The sequence below is a fragment of the Homo sapiens genome, chromosome 2, assembly GCF_000001405.40.
Source record: "Homo sapiens chromosome 2, GRCh38.p14 Primary Assembly".
NCBI lineage: Eukaryota > Metazoa > Chordata > Mammalia > Primates > Hominidae > Homo > Homo sapiens.
The window spans coordinates 121,064,403-121,078,975 of record NC_000002.12 but is presented as its reverse complement, the minus strand read 5'-3'; the positions used below and the strand labels follow the sequence as shown (position 1 = coordinate 121,078,975).

The following is a 14,573-nucleotide window of genomic DNA, read 5'->3' as shown; positions in this document are numbered from 1 at the left end:
AATTCAAAGTGCAAACTGAAGCGGTCTCTTTCTTTACCAGAATTAATCAGACAGACCACTCACCAAGCAGGACCAGTCAGGCCGCCGTCCCCAGGACAGTGAGTTGTGACCTGTGGACCTGCTGCATTCGGAGCCGGACACACATTCAATGAGGAGCCACAGGAAGCTGCGGCCTCCACTGTCAGTGGTGGCGTCTTGTCAGTCCCTACACATTGGAACTTTGCAGCTACAATCACCCTAAAATCTAATAGATTCTGTTTTTTCTGGAAGCGTCTGAAATGACAGGAATAGGTCCTGTGCAGCCGCAGCTGGCTGCAGTCAGCATTGCTTATGATCAGACTAGGGTGGTATCTGGGCATTCTGTCCCTGTAGCTTAAGGAAGAGTCTCCTAGACATGTAAAGATGGAAACAGACTCACCCACCCCAACACACGCCTCTTGCAGGTCAGGAAACAGGGACATCTGGAGGTGAGTTGGGGCTTGTCCAAGTTTACCCGGTGACTTCGAAGTGCAGTCACATCTAAATGTCACCCTAGATGCTCACTCTGGAACAAAATGCTACCCTTGAGCCTCATGATAATGCCCCACCTCCGCCCTGACCACAAGCCTGGACGGTGCTCTAGGCCTTGGCTGCTCACCCTGACACATGTACATCCTGGGGAGCCAGGGGGTGCCTGAGCAGGTGGGACACCAGAACATATGCTCAGCCTGATTGAGGGAAAAGATCCCAACACGCCCCCGTAGTGTTTTGGGAGACTTTTCCTCATCTTCGCTCTCCCCACAAAGGCACGGCAGCCTCTTCTTTCTCCAAACTCTCAGGCTGATGCCTTGCTTTCGAGTACACTGGAGAAAGAGCAATCTGAGCACATATGTCCATGGAGGGGCCACGTCTTCCCTGCTGTTGGGATGGACAGACCGTCCAGGCTCCCTTCCGAGGCCTTCCCCGCACTCTAGCCCATCCCATGATCTGCCATGCCCCTGGTTTCCCTCCCATCCCCACAGCACCGCCTTGACCTCCTTGACTTGTTCTTCCCTTCTCTCTATCTTAAGAGGGTTCTCAGGGCTGCATCCAAACACCTCTTCTCTTTTCTGCCCCTAAGTGAACTCATCCAGGCCATGGCTTTTCATGTTGTCCATAAGCAGGTGGTTCCCAAGTGTATGTTTCCAGCCCGGCAGCTCCCTGAGCTACAGGTTGGTAACTATGCATCCTTCTGCGATTGGATGTTTATATAAGACCTCAACTTTAATGGGGTCCCCAAACAAACTCTCAATGTTCCCGACTCCTCCTCAACCTGCTGTCTCCCATGTCTGTCTGCTGCATGACCAGTTCCACGTGGCTTTGGCCAACCTCACACAGCTGGGGTGGACAGCACCTTGCACCTGGCCCATGTGGGGTATGGTGAAACTGCTCAGCACCCACGCCTGTGTATCTGGAAGTGTGGGGCCACACCACGGGGCCACCCTCGAGCGGCAGGGGCAGAAGCAGCTGGGCAAAACTCCCTCCTTCATCCCCAGGCCGATGGTTCTGAGATGCATCCCAGACTCTGGAAGGTCTCCCCTAGCTTTCTTCCCTGCTGCCTGTGTCAGGCTTTCTCCTCAGGGGAACTCAAGCTAAGACCCAAGGAGATGGCCGCTTAGACTTCCCTTCAAGAAAGTACTGATGCCCAGCTGCGAACTGGGGTCCAGCTGTTGGCTTTGCCTGTTTCCGAGCTGAAGGCACACTATTCTGGGGTGGCCCCAGCAAGGACTGAGCAGGGCAATGATCCCCATCCCGGCCCCTTCCGCGGCCACAGGCCTCCTGAGATGGGACGGGCGCGCTTTGCTCCGGCGCCCTCTGCTGGCAGGTGCAGGTTGTGCAGGGAGGATGCATCAGGATGGCCGGCCCCGCCCACCTTGCTTCTTCCCTCTCCTCTTACAGGTGGTGCTCCCCGTTACGCTATTGCACCCCTCACTCCGTCTCAGCGTCTGCTTCCCAGACAATCCCACCTGAGACACAGTTTGATAAGGAGTTGGAGAATGAGAATACCAGTGAACTGGACTGAGTCGGGAGAGAGTTCAGACTTGCGGGGGGCGGGGGGCGGGGGGCGGTTACCTGAAGACAATGTTTAAATATTTAATGCCCCGATATTATGATTGGGCTCCTGCTCGGCTGTGCCCAGGACAGATGGAAGCCAGACTGTGATCACCTGGGTTCTGGGAATCTTGAAGAGACGCCTGGGGACTGCTTGGGTAGGGCTGGGGCTGGAAGCTCCACACCTGAACCAGCCAAGAGTCTGAGCCGGCGAAGTTAAGAGGCAGCGTCTGACCCTGCCTGACAGTGCAGGTCACTCTTCCCGTCTCCTAGAATAAGCAGACGCTGCACTGGGACAAGCCCCACTGGCAGGGGTGGACTTGGAGCCGTCTTTCCAGGTGGAACACTGCGTATCTTAAATGAGGTGGCCCCTGGATTGAATGCTCCTCTCTGCCTCTCCAGACCTGCCTTAGAGCAGGTGGTCATCCCGAGCTGCCAGGGCTCCCTAGGCTGGTGCAGTGCCTGTCAGGGGATGCAGGGAGCTCATGGGCCTCCTAGCAATCAACTCAACTCAGTGTGCACTCACTAGATGCTAGCCATGTGCCAGCAGGCACGGCGCATGGCAGGGGAGAAAACAGCTCCTGCGCCAAGGAGCCCTAGGTCCTGGGAAGAGGGGTGACAAATCCACAAACACATACATGCTTTGTCACACCCAAGACAGGTGCCAGATCCAGGAATCACGAAGGCACCAGGAGGTCTGAGGGCTTCCCTGAGGAGGTGATGCGCCCTGAGTCCTGAAGGGCTGGGGAGCCAGCCACGGGAGGTGGGAGGGAAGGCTCCAAGCAGGGGCACTAGGATTCCCCAAGCCCAGAGGAGGGAATAGCAGGTGTGTGGTTGTGATGGGGCAGGGAGGGCCCCAGGGCAGCGGGGACAGGAGGCGGGGTTTAGACTGGGTGGTAGGTGGGAGTGGTGCCTGGGACCCCAGGAAAGGCTGCAGCCAGGAAGGCTCTGGATTTGTGCCCGAGGCTCCTGCTAGCAGCTGACGGAATGGAGAGGGCAAGGAGGTGGGCAGGGAGGCGAGCTGGGAAACGCCAAGCTGGGCAGAGGCAGAGGAAAAGGAGAGGAGAGAAACTGAGGGGGCAGGGTTGGCAAGAGATGGGGAGGACTGGGTGGGTGCCAGGAGATGGGGGGAGAGCAGCCACGCCTCCCCTCCCGGCTGGGGTTTTTTCATGCTGGAGTTGGAGTTGGGGCAACTTTTGTCCTCTCTGCTCCTTGATCCAGGGCAAAGGCGGGGGGCGGGGAGGGGGGGCGGTGAAAACACGACCTAGTACCTCTCAGTTTTAGAATCAGCCACTATCTTTTCTGGTTAGAAATCGGTGGCGGGAAGCGGCTGGGAGAAATAAGATTTAGCCTCCCAAACAGGCGGCAGGGAAGGAAGGGACCAGAAGTGCTCCCAGCAGCTCATTTGCATTTCAAACAGCCCGTTTGTTTTATCTCCTAATTAGCATACTCACCCTCAGCTGAAAATGAGTCCATTAAAGGAGACTCTGCTCCAGGCTCAGCTCCTCCTTTAAATATTTTTAAAGCGTATGATTAATACACTTGCCTATTGCTGCGTGGACTGTGCTGGGGGGGTCAGGGGGCAGATAAATGAAAGAGGATAGCTGCACGCGGCGTTGACTGGCTGATTAATCACTGCCTGTTTTCTATAACTCATGGCAGATGGCAGGAGCTGGCTGCAGGCCCTCGTTGGGAATGAGGTGCTGCAGGCAGGATGAACAGGGGTCGGGGGAGACCCTGGAAGGCCCCAGTTGTGTCGTGTTTTTTTTCCTCGGCCCTACAGACCTCCGTGTCCACCCCACCCCCTGCACTTCGTGGCAATTCCCAAGTTCAAGAGCAGTGGCGTAGCTTCTGGGAAGACACAGGAAATCTCATTTCTCCCTTGGATTTTTTAGGACCTAGATAACGACACTGTCAATTTTGGGAATGGTCAACTTTGGGGTGGGGAGAGTCAGGTCCAGTGCAATACTTGTATATATTTTATCTTCAATTCTCCCAACAACCCCATTTTCTAGATAGGAATTGTGAGGCTTGGCAAGGCAGACACAGGTATTGTTCCCAGCTGGTCCCACCCAAAGCCTGCTCCTCGCTGTCCTCCCTTTTGCCCTCCCCAGGGGAGCATCATCAGCCCAAGGCCCAGAAGTGAAGGCCCTGGAGCTGGCACAGCTGCCCCCTCCCCGGGACCTCGGCCCTCTCCATCCCTGGGGGCCACTGCAGTCTTCCCCTGGTACGGGACACATTCTCCCCGTCAGGCCTGCATGGCTATTGCCCACCTCACCGTGCACATTCAATGGTGTTTTTGTCTCTTGACTTGTCTTTCCCAGGAGATGATGGATTTCCTGGAGGCAGGAAGTGTGGCCACCACCGGGAGTAGCTCCAGGACCCGGCATGGGTTAGGCTCTGGGGTGGTGTGACAGATGTGTGTCCGGTCAGCCTAGCTGAGCTGAACTGCAGCACCCAGAACTCCCTTCCCTGCACAGGCTTGGGTTATCTGGGGCCCCAGGGGAGGGGCAGAGGGAGCAGCAGTCATGTCTTCCTTTTACACTCAGAAGGCGAGAGGGGCCAGTGCCTCCCAACACACAGGGGACTCGCAGGTGCTGCTGATCTCAGGAGATGGATTTGGTGTCCAGGCAGCTGGGGCATAGCTCTTCCAGCCCAGCCAGAGCCTCCTGTGGCCTTCTTGACTCCCAGGCCAGGTATATGCTTAGTTCATGAAAGTGCCGGCTTCTTCCACGGGGTGCCCATCCTCGAAGGTAGAGGCTTAGAGCAGGGGACAGATTGACTTGGGGTCTGCCACTTCCCGGTGGGAGTTCCAGCTCAGCCTGTCAGGTTCCGTTTGTCCTCCTACCCCACTTCATGGTCATCCCCTTTTCCCCACGCCCGCCCTGCCAGCTCCACGCACCGGAGAAGCAGCAGTTCCCTTAGACGGGGTGGCCAGTGCCCAAGGTTTCACAAGGCCAAGTCCCTGTAATAGGTCGTGTGTGTGTGTGTCTGTGTGTGTCTGTGTGTGTGTGTCTACGTGTTTGTGTGTCTGCATGTGTCTGTGTGTATCTGTGTGTGCGTGCGTGTCTATGTATCTGTGTGTGTCTGTGCGTATCTGTGTGTGTGTGCGTGTCTATATATGTATGTGTGTGTGTCTGTGTGTGTGTCTGTGGGTGTGTCTGTGTGTCTGTGTGTGTGTCTGTGTGTATACGTGTCTGTGTCTGCGTGTGTCTGTGTGTCTGTGTGTGTCTGCGTGTGTGTCTGTGTCTGTGTGTCTGTGGGTGTCTGCGTGTGTGTGTCTCTGTGTGTTTGTGTCTGTGTGTTGGTGTCCGCGTGTCTGTCCGTGTAGTGCGTGTGTGTGTCTGTGTATGTCTGTATGTCTGTGTATGTTTCTGTATGTTCCTGCATGTGTGTGTCTCTGTGTGTGTGTTTGTGTCTATGTGTGTGTGTCTTTGTGTGTCTGTGTGTTTCTGTGTGTGCGTGTGTGTCTCTGTGTGTTTGTGTCTGTGTCTGTGTGTGTGTGTCTGTGTGTGTGTCTCTGTGTCTGTGCGTGTGTGTCTGTGTGTCTGTGTGTGTGTCTGTGTGTGTCTCTGTGTCTGTGTGTCTGTGTGTGTGTGTGTGTCTGTGTGTGTGTGCGCGTGCATGTCCTCTCACGTCCCAATGTTCCACTTCTCTGAACTCTGACTGGTGCAGGTGGCAGAGCCTGTAGGAACGGAATGGGAGGAGATGGGAAACCCTTGTGGGATGGGAACTGTCAGGTCGGGTTCTGCAGACTACGTGGGAAAGTGGAACACAGTGATCCTGGCAGAGGGAACAGCATGTGCAAAGACCAGGGGGTAGTGGGGCACAGTGCCTGAGCAGCCGTGGGTTCCTGTCCCGCCCAGAAGAGAAAAGGTCTGCAGAGGAAGCAGCGGCTGCCTGAGTGGAGCCCAGCCCGGCAATGGGCAGTGGGAGCCAGGCTGGGCTTTCCTGCAGGAGGCACCACGTGGTTGCTGCAGATGAGAGAGGGTGATGCCCCCAGGAACTCCAGGCTGGCAGGGGTTAGGGACGGAATTGACGTGGGCTGTACGGCGTTGGCCTAGTTCCTTGTTGGGGATACAATCAGGCGGGAGCGGCCTGTCCCTTAGGATACAATGACTGGGCTATAGCAGTCGTGCTCTTGATCAAGTTAAAAAGTGGCTGCTGGTATCACTGGCCCCCACCAAGTCGGGGAAGCCCTGCTCCCCATCACTCTGGAGAGCTGTGTATTTTCCCAAACTCCAAGCATTGGTGCTGAGACCGCTCCCGCAAAAAAAGCCAGAGAAGGGTAGCTGGGCTTCCCCCAACTCCAAGGGGTTGAACTAGCGACCCTTCAGGAGTCTCAGAAGACCCCCATTGTGCATTCAGGGAAATGGGAGCCCAGGGAGAGGATGGGCCCTGCCTAAGGTCACCCAGTGAGTTGCAAGAGCCGGTGAGAGCCCAGGTCTCCAGATGCCTGCCCAGCAGCAGTGCCAGGGGAAGGGGACGTGGGGCCAAGGCCACCCGTTGTGCAGAGATCAGGAGCAAGTGGTGCCGGGGCGAGACTACCCACAGGGGAGCACCTTCTCTGAGCTCCAAGGAGCCACAGGCCCTGAGCCTCTCTCCCTCTCTTGGGGACTCACCACCTTGAAAGAGATGGACCCAGAGGTAAATGACAAGATGACACCATAAATGCCACAACGCAGGCACTGGGGGAGAACAGGGGAAGCAGCCACCAATCCTCCCTTATAAGTATTCAAATTCCACTCATTCCTTCATGCAGTAACTAGCTACTGAGCACCTAGGATGTGCAGGGCTGGATGGGGCTGGGGACACAGAGCTGAACAAGACAGCCCCCCTGCCCCCGTCTTGGAGCTTGGCATCCTAGCACATATTAATATATAGTATTCGTACACTGTGTAATGTAATGCTGGTAATAACATCCATAAAGATCCCTCACAGCAGTCTGAGAGGGCGGAGTGATGGGGACCAGGGACCCTTGGCCCAGGAAGACAAGGACAGCCTCTTAAAGCAGTTGCCATTTGAGTCGAGACCTAAACTCTGAGAAGGAGGAGGCATCTGGACATTTGGAAGCAGACGTTTTTAGGGAAGGAAAACAGTGAATGCAAAGGCCCTGGGGTGGAGGTGAGCTCAATGCTTTGGAAAGAAGGCCCAGTCGGCTAAAGCGGAAGGAGCAGAGGAGGCCCTAAAAGGTGACCTGGGGACATAGGTGGGTTGGACTGCAGAGCCCCGTGGCCATGGGGACGTGCCTGATGTACATTCCAGGGAGCTCCTCTGGCCTCTGTAGGACAATGGGCTGTGCACCCACCTGGTGCTGATGGGCACCAGGGCTCTTTCTATGTTTGGGTACTCAGTTGGAAACCCAGAACTTCTGAGGTGTTACAACGTGGGGCGCCTGTGCCTTCAGCCTGTCTAGCAGTGTGGCCTGGGCAAGGCCCTTCCCAGAGCCCAGTCTCTGTCAGGCTGGAGGGTGAGTGATCCAGCCACACAGTCACAGTAACAGCCTGCTCCCTCCGGAAAAGGCCTCTGTGACCAGGGACAAGCTGCTTTCCCCGCTATGTGGAGTGCTGAGGCTGATCAGCAGGAAACGGGCGGGTGAGGGCTTTGACGCCTCCGGGCTGGAACCCCTGGGCTGTCTTGGGGAAGCCCTGAGGGGAGCGGAGGTGGTGCTGGGACTGGGACCCCTCCTGCCGTCCGCCCTAGGCTGGCAGTCGGCGCCGGGCACCACTGCCCTTCTTTCACCAGGGGGCGCTGGTGGGCTTTTGCACTCTGTTTTCCTACCTCTCCCCGTCCTTTTTTTTCTTTTCTTTTCTTTTCCAATTAAAAATCATCCTTGTAGGGTCCATTTTCAAACAGATTTTGGAACAGTCTCTTTGAGAAATCCAATACACTTTTTCTTGAGACAGGGTCTTTCTCTGTCACCCACGCTGGAGTGTGTGACGTTTGCTTACTGCACCCTCAACCTCTGGGCTCAATCTTCCCACCTCAGCCTCCCAAGTAGCTTGCACACCACTGTACCCGACTGAATTTTTGGTTTTTTTTTTTTTTGTAGAGACAGGGTCTTGCTTTATTGCCCAGGCTGGTCTCAAACTCCCGGGTTCAAGTGATCCCGCCACCTCAGTCTCCCAAAGTGCTGGAATTACAGGCGTGACCAATGTACCATTAACTTTGGGATTCAGAACTAACTCAGGAAGCTGCCAGCCACCCAGCTGAAGGCCAGGCCTGGGTCTCACCCAGTAGCCAGATCCTGGCAGGGGGTGGGGGCAAGGGTGGTTCTGGGATCCCTGTGGACTGGACCCACAATACTGACTTCTGACATTTGTTGGGTTTTTTTTTTTGAGACGGAGTCTTATTCTGTCACCCAGGCTGGAGTGCAGTGGCGCGATTTCGGCTCACTGCAAACTCTGCCTCCTGGGTTCAATCAATTCCCCTGCCTCAGCCTCCTAAGTAGCTGTGATTACAGGCGCCCGCCACCAGGCCCGGCTAATTTTTGTGTTTTTAGTAGAGATGGAGTTTCACCATGTTGGCCAGGCTGGTCTTGAACTCCTGACCTCAAGTGATCCACCCACCTTGGCCTCCCAAGGTGCTGGGATTATAGGCGTGAGCCACCGTGCCCGGCCTGACATTTGTTGGTTTTAATAAGCATGAAAGGAATTCCAGGGCACCTGTCCTCCACCCTGCCCCATTGGCTGGCCTCGAACCCCAGCGGAGCCAGAGTTGGAGAGTATTTTCCGTGAAAGATTTCCTGGGTTTTGGGGACAAATTGGGCTGCTCTCAGGAGTGGGGGACAGAATGGGGTGCGAGGTGGGGGCAGGGGGCCTTCTTCATTCTACTTCCTGCTCGGAAATATTTTAGGGACTTGCTATTTTAGTAAAGGCATTAATTGGGCACATATTTACCATCCTACTGTTTTTAATCACAATGTCTGTGAATTTCCCTCAGTGTGAGAGGGGCCCAGACTTCGATTTCCTGTCCCTTCAATGCTTGCAGATGGAATATTCCAGCACATGTGCAGGATCCATGCTAACTAAAACATAGTTACCCTCCACCACGGAACCACAGACAGGGCACAAGGACAGGGGCGGCTGAGGGTGGGTTCCTGATTCCCAACGTGGGATGGGCGTACCCCACCCCCTCCACCAAGGCATGGGGCTGTGTTCGCGGTTGACAGTATGGTCACGCGAAGGAGTTTTGCAAATGACCTTGGCCCTGGAGGCGCAATGACCGAATGAAGCTTGAACTTCATCACTGAACTCTGCAGGACCTGCAGGAGCAAGTTGGAAGCTCAGTTTCCTCATCTGCGAAATGGGGGAATAATAGTGACTGCGCCATGAGATGACGGTGAATGTTAAATGACATCGCCCATTGTTATCAGGGTTTTGGCTGTCACTATTCATCGAGTACCTCCCTCCTGTCCACTCATGCTTTACACACCCCGAGAGAAGCTCCTGCGGATTAGAGATGTTAAGGGAGCCGCCTAGGATGGCACAGCTTGGCAGAAGGGTGGAGCCAGGGCCCACCTGGGTCTGTAGAATTCCTCTGCTCTCCTTGGCCTGTCCTCTGAACTCCTGGGGATTTGGCAGATTCTCCTTTCAGGGGAGAAGTTAGAGGTGGAGTCTGCGCTTTGCATTCTGCCATCCCAGAACCCTGGGGCAGGTTGTGCCTGGGCCTGGCTGCTGGCTGGCACTGAGCAGCAAAACAGTCCCGACCAGAGCCGGGCACCTGGAGGCCAGTGGTGGGCAAAGCCCTTCCTCCTGAGAAGTACAGGTTCACTGGCCCAGCCCTCCCAGCCCTGCTGCACCATGCAGCGGGCTCCAGAAGAGGAGGGATGAAGCCTCAAGCCCTGCCCACTGAGAAGCCCAGTATTCCCCCTGGGATGGCAACAAATCCCGCCTGCCACGGAGGTGCCAGGACCCGCCGCAGAGAGGGAGATGAGAGAGGGCCCTAGAGAGGACTACAGAGGCCACTTGCAAGGAGTAGGGGATGGATGACAGGGATGAGGGGGACTGGGGAGAGGAGGAGGGAGGGAGGGAATTGCTCAGCAGGGCAAGGACACAGGATTGAGCACTATGTGGGGTGGGGGCACCTCAAGAGACAGAAGAGAGGAATGGGTACCGTGGTGAGGGTCGGGGGCATTCACTGACAGAGAGGAGAAGAGCCTGCCAGGTTATGAGTGGTTTGAAAGCTGGAGTTTAGACTTGATGTGATAAAAATGGGGAGCCACGGTAGCCTCTTGAGTGAGGGAAGGCTAGGGATGGGCTGAGGAAGGGGTAGAAATGAAAGAGACAGGTTACAGATGCCAGTCTCTGTGCCATCCACGACTGGTCTCTAACCCACTTCATCCCCTGGCTTCAGTTCATTTACTAAGTCACCCTTGGGAGCTACCCTCAGAAATCCCATTTTCAAATGACATGAGAAAATGCTCCTGGCATAACACAGAGTGAAAAGCTAAGAAGCAGTGGAAGCTGTGCTTTGTAATCTCGATTTGGTGAGAGAAGTCTGCAGGTGTGTCTGTGTTTGTGAGGATACCACTGCCCCGGGCTTTCTTGGTGATGTTGGTTTTTGTCCTTTTTCTTCTTTGACAAAATTTCCTTCACCTTGGGAGGGTTTCTCGCCTTAGCCCTCTTTGCCCTTGGGGTAGGAGGAGCCGGCTTCTGGTTACAAATGACCCAGGCTCTGGATTTTGTGGCGTTCCAAGTCCATTAGGGAAGGACAAGTATGGCAGGGAGAGGTAGAATGTCAGGAGAAGCAGGTGCTGGGGAGGGCTCCCCCAAACTTTCAGGGGTTTCTCTGGGCCTGGGCTGGCCTTGGGGAAGAGGGGAGTCAGTGGGCCTCTGGGGGCTGCTCCGCAGATGCCAGTTTCCAAATTCTCCTGAGACTCCCATGCCTGAGAGAGACACACACCACCGCAGAGCCGCGGTTCCTCCCGAGTCACCTATGTGGACAAACACAAGTGACAGGTGACCCAGGACCCCTTGACATCCCTCCCCATCCAACACACCTTGGCACTGTGTGGGATTCAGAACCAGGGACCATCCAGGGGTTGGGGGGAAGCTCAGAACCCACACTCAATGGATTCCAGGCCAGAGTGACGTGCTACTTCCTACAGGGCCAAGCTGGTAGCCCGAGAGGTCTCCCCATTAAAAGTGCTAAAAAAAAAAAAAAAAGAGCCTGGAGGGATTGCACCAACCCTTACTAGCAATTCTCTCTGCAGGTGGCATGATGGTAATTTTTCTTTTCTTCTTAATAATGAGCTATATTTTTCTAATTTTCTACAATGTGCAGATGTGAATTCTAAAATTAGAAGGGAAAGGAAAAGTAAAGTAAAGCAAAACTAGTCAGAAAGACTAGCTCTCGTGAAGCCAGGCTTAGGGGGACCAGGACAGAGAGGTTTTGCAGGAGGGCCAGGTTCCCAGTGTGGCTTCTGCACTGGCCCCAGGGGCAGAGAGACCCCAGGGCCCCATGTAGCATGTGCACACTCCTTGCCCCACTGCTCAGCTGCTCCTCCCCACCGTCACTCACTCCTGGAGGCCAGACAGTGTTGCCACCATGCTTCCAAATAGAGGCATCACCATTACTGCCCAGTGGAGGGGCACCAAGGGCTGTGCTGTGCACCCCCCACCAGCCCCGCCTAGGCCTTGTTCTTCAAAGTGTGTTCGAGCCCCAGGTTTCTTCTGAAGACATAGAACATCTTACCCCTTGTAGACTCCTCTGCCCCATCTCTTCTCCACCCTTCTCCTTCAGGGTCTCCTGCCCATAATGTCATCCACATCCTTCCAGTGTCTTGATTACAAGATTTGTTCCTGCTAGCCAACAAGACATTTAGTCCTAAGAATTAGACCTCACAATCCCTCTCACCAGCCTCTTCATCACCTGTGTTTCCCTATCTCTGACCTTCCTTTTGTTCATTCCAGTGGGCCCCTTGCTGGTCTCCTTGTCTCCTCTCCATCCACCACCCACAAAGCCACGCCAGGAAAGAAAAAGTACTGGGATTGAACTTCTCTGTTCAGAATGACTTTGATGGTATTTTCCTTCTATCAGTGCTTCTAGGATCAGATTCAAGTTCCCTTTCCTGCAGCCCGAAGGCCTCTGTGATCAGTCCTGGGAGAATGGAATGCCTGGGGCTTACGGTACTACTCCCAGCCCTCGCTTCCAGGGCAGACATTACTAATCAATGGCAGCACACTCCTCCTGCTAATCCAGGATGTGGCTTCCAAGTCCTTTTCAGCAAAGGTATCAGGCACCCCGTGACTGATCAAAGTTGGCCATCTCATATCCGGTTATAACCCACAGGCCTACGCTTCTTTCTCTTCCCTATCCCATTCCCCTACCATTCAGCCACATGGGATGTATTGGCACTCTCACATTGGGATACTTGAGGAGGTTAAAGGACTGGACCAACTTCACACAGGTACTGGCAGGCGAGGGGTGATGCGAGGGACAGTGCAGTGCTCCGTGACTAGCTTTGCTGCTACCACCCCTCTGCCTAAAGGGGCAAGGATCCCAGAAGGAGAGAGTTGCTTTGAAAAGAGTCATCTGGCTGAGGGACACAGTGAACCCCAAAGCAGCCCCAAATGGTCAGAGTCAGGGAGTAAGTGCCCTGGCCTCCTTCTCCCTCACCTGCCTGTGCTCCCATTGTCTGAGCCCCACTAAAGCTGGAGGGCGGGAGAGCCTCTTGCAGTAGATATCACAGGGTGGAGCAAGGCTTGGGGGAAGTGGGCACCACCAGAAGCTTTCAGCCCACAGCAGGATGCCCTGCTCGGCCCCACAGAGGAGACAGAAGGGACAGGCCAGGCTCACAGACAGGCTGTCAATGTGCTACCCGTTCCATACCACCGTGCTCTTGCCACCAAGTTCCGTCTGCCTGTCTGACTGTCCTGCCAGCTTCATTTGCCAAAACCTACTTCTCCTTCCAGCCAGCCCAGGAGCCACCTCCTCCTCGAAGCCTCATACATTGCCCTTTCTGCTGGGTCCTCAGTACTGCCCCAGTTAGAGGTCATCGTTCCTTCCTCTGGACTTCAAAAGCAGTTCCCCAGCAGGGGACGTCCGCGGGAGCCAGGCCTGTGCAGTGGGAAAGGAGAAGCCATCCTCCCACGCGATGGACGAGGACTCAGAAGCCAAGAGAGTGTTTCTGGTGTGGTCAAGGTGGCTGGCCCCAAATCCAGCATCCTCTCTCCACAGAGCCCTCGCCCCTGTCTTCAGCCAATGTCCCTAATATGGCTTCCCATCCACCTGGCTGCTGGGCACACCTCCGCACCATCCCACCTCCAACACCGTCTCTCCCCTGCAACCCCACTGCCACCCAGACCAGGAGAGCAGGTTTGAGAAGCGCCCCTTGGCTGCTGGTGGCTTGCAGCAGGCCCCGAGGCTCCTCAGCTTTCTTCTGGTGTCCTTTGGGGACCTTGTCCTATAGACTTGGGGATAAGTCACAGAACTCTTGCAGCCACACTGAAGAAGTACATGAGCCAACCTCTGGTGAGGCCAATTCTGCCACCACTGGACCTGTCCCTGGGCCATTGCCTCGTGTGCTCACTCTGAAAGCCTGCCTGACCCTCAGTCTCTTCTTTTGCTGCCCCCTAGCCTCTGTGACCCACCTGTGGACAACTGGTCGTGATCAGCTGTATGTGAGTGGACCCAGGCTCAAGTCAACTCAACTGAACAAACATCTGAAAATCTGGCATGTCAAGCTGTCCTGGGCACTGGGAGTGTCAAGGTGACCAGGACACAGTCCTTGCTTTCTGGGTCCTCACATCTAACCAGAGGGACTGGCATGTGACATGTAAAGGATACTAGCATATGCCAAGAGCAATAGTAGTAACAGTTACAGAGATAGAACAGGGAGAATGGATGTTAATGTGCATATTTATCAGGGAAGGCTTCCTGTAGGAGGTGGTAGGGCTGGGCTTTCCAGTTAAGAGAGGGGTCTTGTTCTATAGCTGCTCTAGTCTTCATATAGAAAAATAATTTCTTTTCTCTGGATGGCTAGACTGGGCAGGGTGATGTCTTGTATGAATCAAGGTCTGGGGCTCAGCCACAATCATCCTGCACAGTGGATGGGAACTGACCCCAGGAGTGGCATGGCTGCCTTCTTCATTATCAGGGTGGAAATTTCCAGTGTCCCCACATCATGGCCCTCATACTCATAACAAATTGTAGTGTCTCAGCCCCCAAAGCCCAGAGCGGCTGGGCACATTAACAAGAACCTCAGCTAGCAACAATATGCTGCCTCAAATATAAGCTTGGCCCTAAAGCCCCCTGCGCCAAGCAGCCCTCTCCTGTTTATTTCCATTCCTTACCTAAGCCAACCTCATTAGTCTCCCCCAAATATTCCCCCTAATTATGCTCCAACGGAGGTGGGGGGCACACGTCCTTATGGTCTGGGCAGCCGGGATTCCTAATAAAAAGTCACCATAATAATTAAGAACAATGATTAGGCTCCTTTCCACTGCCCCCGATCACTCCAGCCCCATCAAAACTGGCTCCAGACCAGGTGCTAAGCTCTG

At 54.9% G+C, this 14,573-nt stretch overlaps 7 annotated features.

Annotated features, from left to right (window-relative positions):
- Positions 2,865-3,716: an enhancer, noted in NCBI's record as "OCT4-NANOG-H3K27ac-H3K4me1 hESC enhancer chr2:121832836-121833687 (GRCh37/hg19 assembly coordinates)". NCBI's record gives its function as "activates a minimal SCP1, AML or CMV promoter by ChIP-STARR-seq in naive and primed H9 embryonic stem cells {active_cell/tissue: H9 hESC(naive and primed)}" and the evidence as "EXISTENCE:reporter gene assay evidence [ECO:0000049][PMID:30033119]".
- Positions 2,865-4,567: a biological region, named in NCBI's record as "VISTA enhancer hs522".
- Positions 3,235-4,134: an enhancer, noted in NCBI's record as "VISTA enhancer hs522". NCBI's record gives its function as "enhancer in: hindbrain (rhombencephalon)[7/7] | forebrain[6/7] | other[6/7]" and the evidence as "EXISTENCE:transgenic organism evidence [ECO:0001131][PMID:17130149]".
- Positions 3,529-3,823: a silencer, noted in NCBI's record as "tiled region #14857; HepG2 Repressive non-DNase unmatched - State 20:ReprD, and K562 Repressive DNase unmatched - State 5:Enh". NCBI's record gives its function as "represses a minimal TATA promoter and a strong SV40 promoter by Sharpr-MPRA in HepG2 and K562 cells {active_cell/tissue: HepG2 | K562}" and the evidence as "EXISTENCE:reporter gene assay evidence [ECO:0000049][PMID:27701403]".
- Positions 3,717-4,567: an enhancer, noted in NCBI's record as "OCT4-NANOG-H3K4me1 hESC enhancer chr2:121831985-121832835 (GRCh37/hg19 assembly coordinates)". NCBI's record gives its function as "activates a minimal SCP1, AML or CMV promoter by ChIP-STARR-seq in primed H9 embryonic stem cells {active_cell/tissue: H9 hESC(primed)}" and the evidence as "EXISTENCE:reporter gene assay evidence [ECO:0000049][PMID:30033119]".
- Positions 7,586-8,149: an enhancer, noted in NCBI's record as "H3K4me1 hESC enhancer chr2:121828403-121828966 (GRCh37/hg19 assembly coordinates)". NCBI's record gives its function as "activates a minimal SCP1, AML or CMV promoter by ChIP-STARR-seq in primed H9 embryonic stem cells {active_cell/tissue: H9 hESC(primed)}" and the evidence as "EXISTENCE:reporter gene assay evidence [ECO:0000049][PMID:30033119]".
- Positions 7,742-7,901: an enhancer, noted in NCBI's record as "active region_16462". NCBI's record gives its function as "activates an Ori minimal core promoter by ATAC-STARR-seq in GM12878 lymphoblastoid cells {active_cell/tissue: GM12878}" and the evidence as "EXISTENCE:reporter gene assay evidence [ECO:0000049][PMID:35858748]".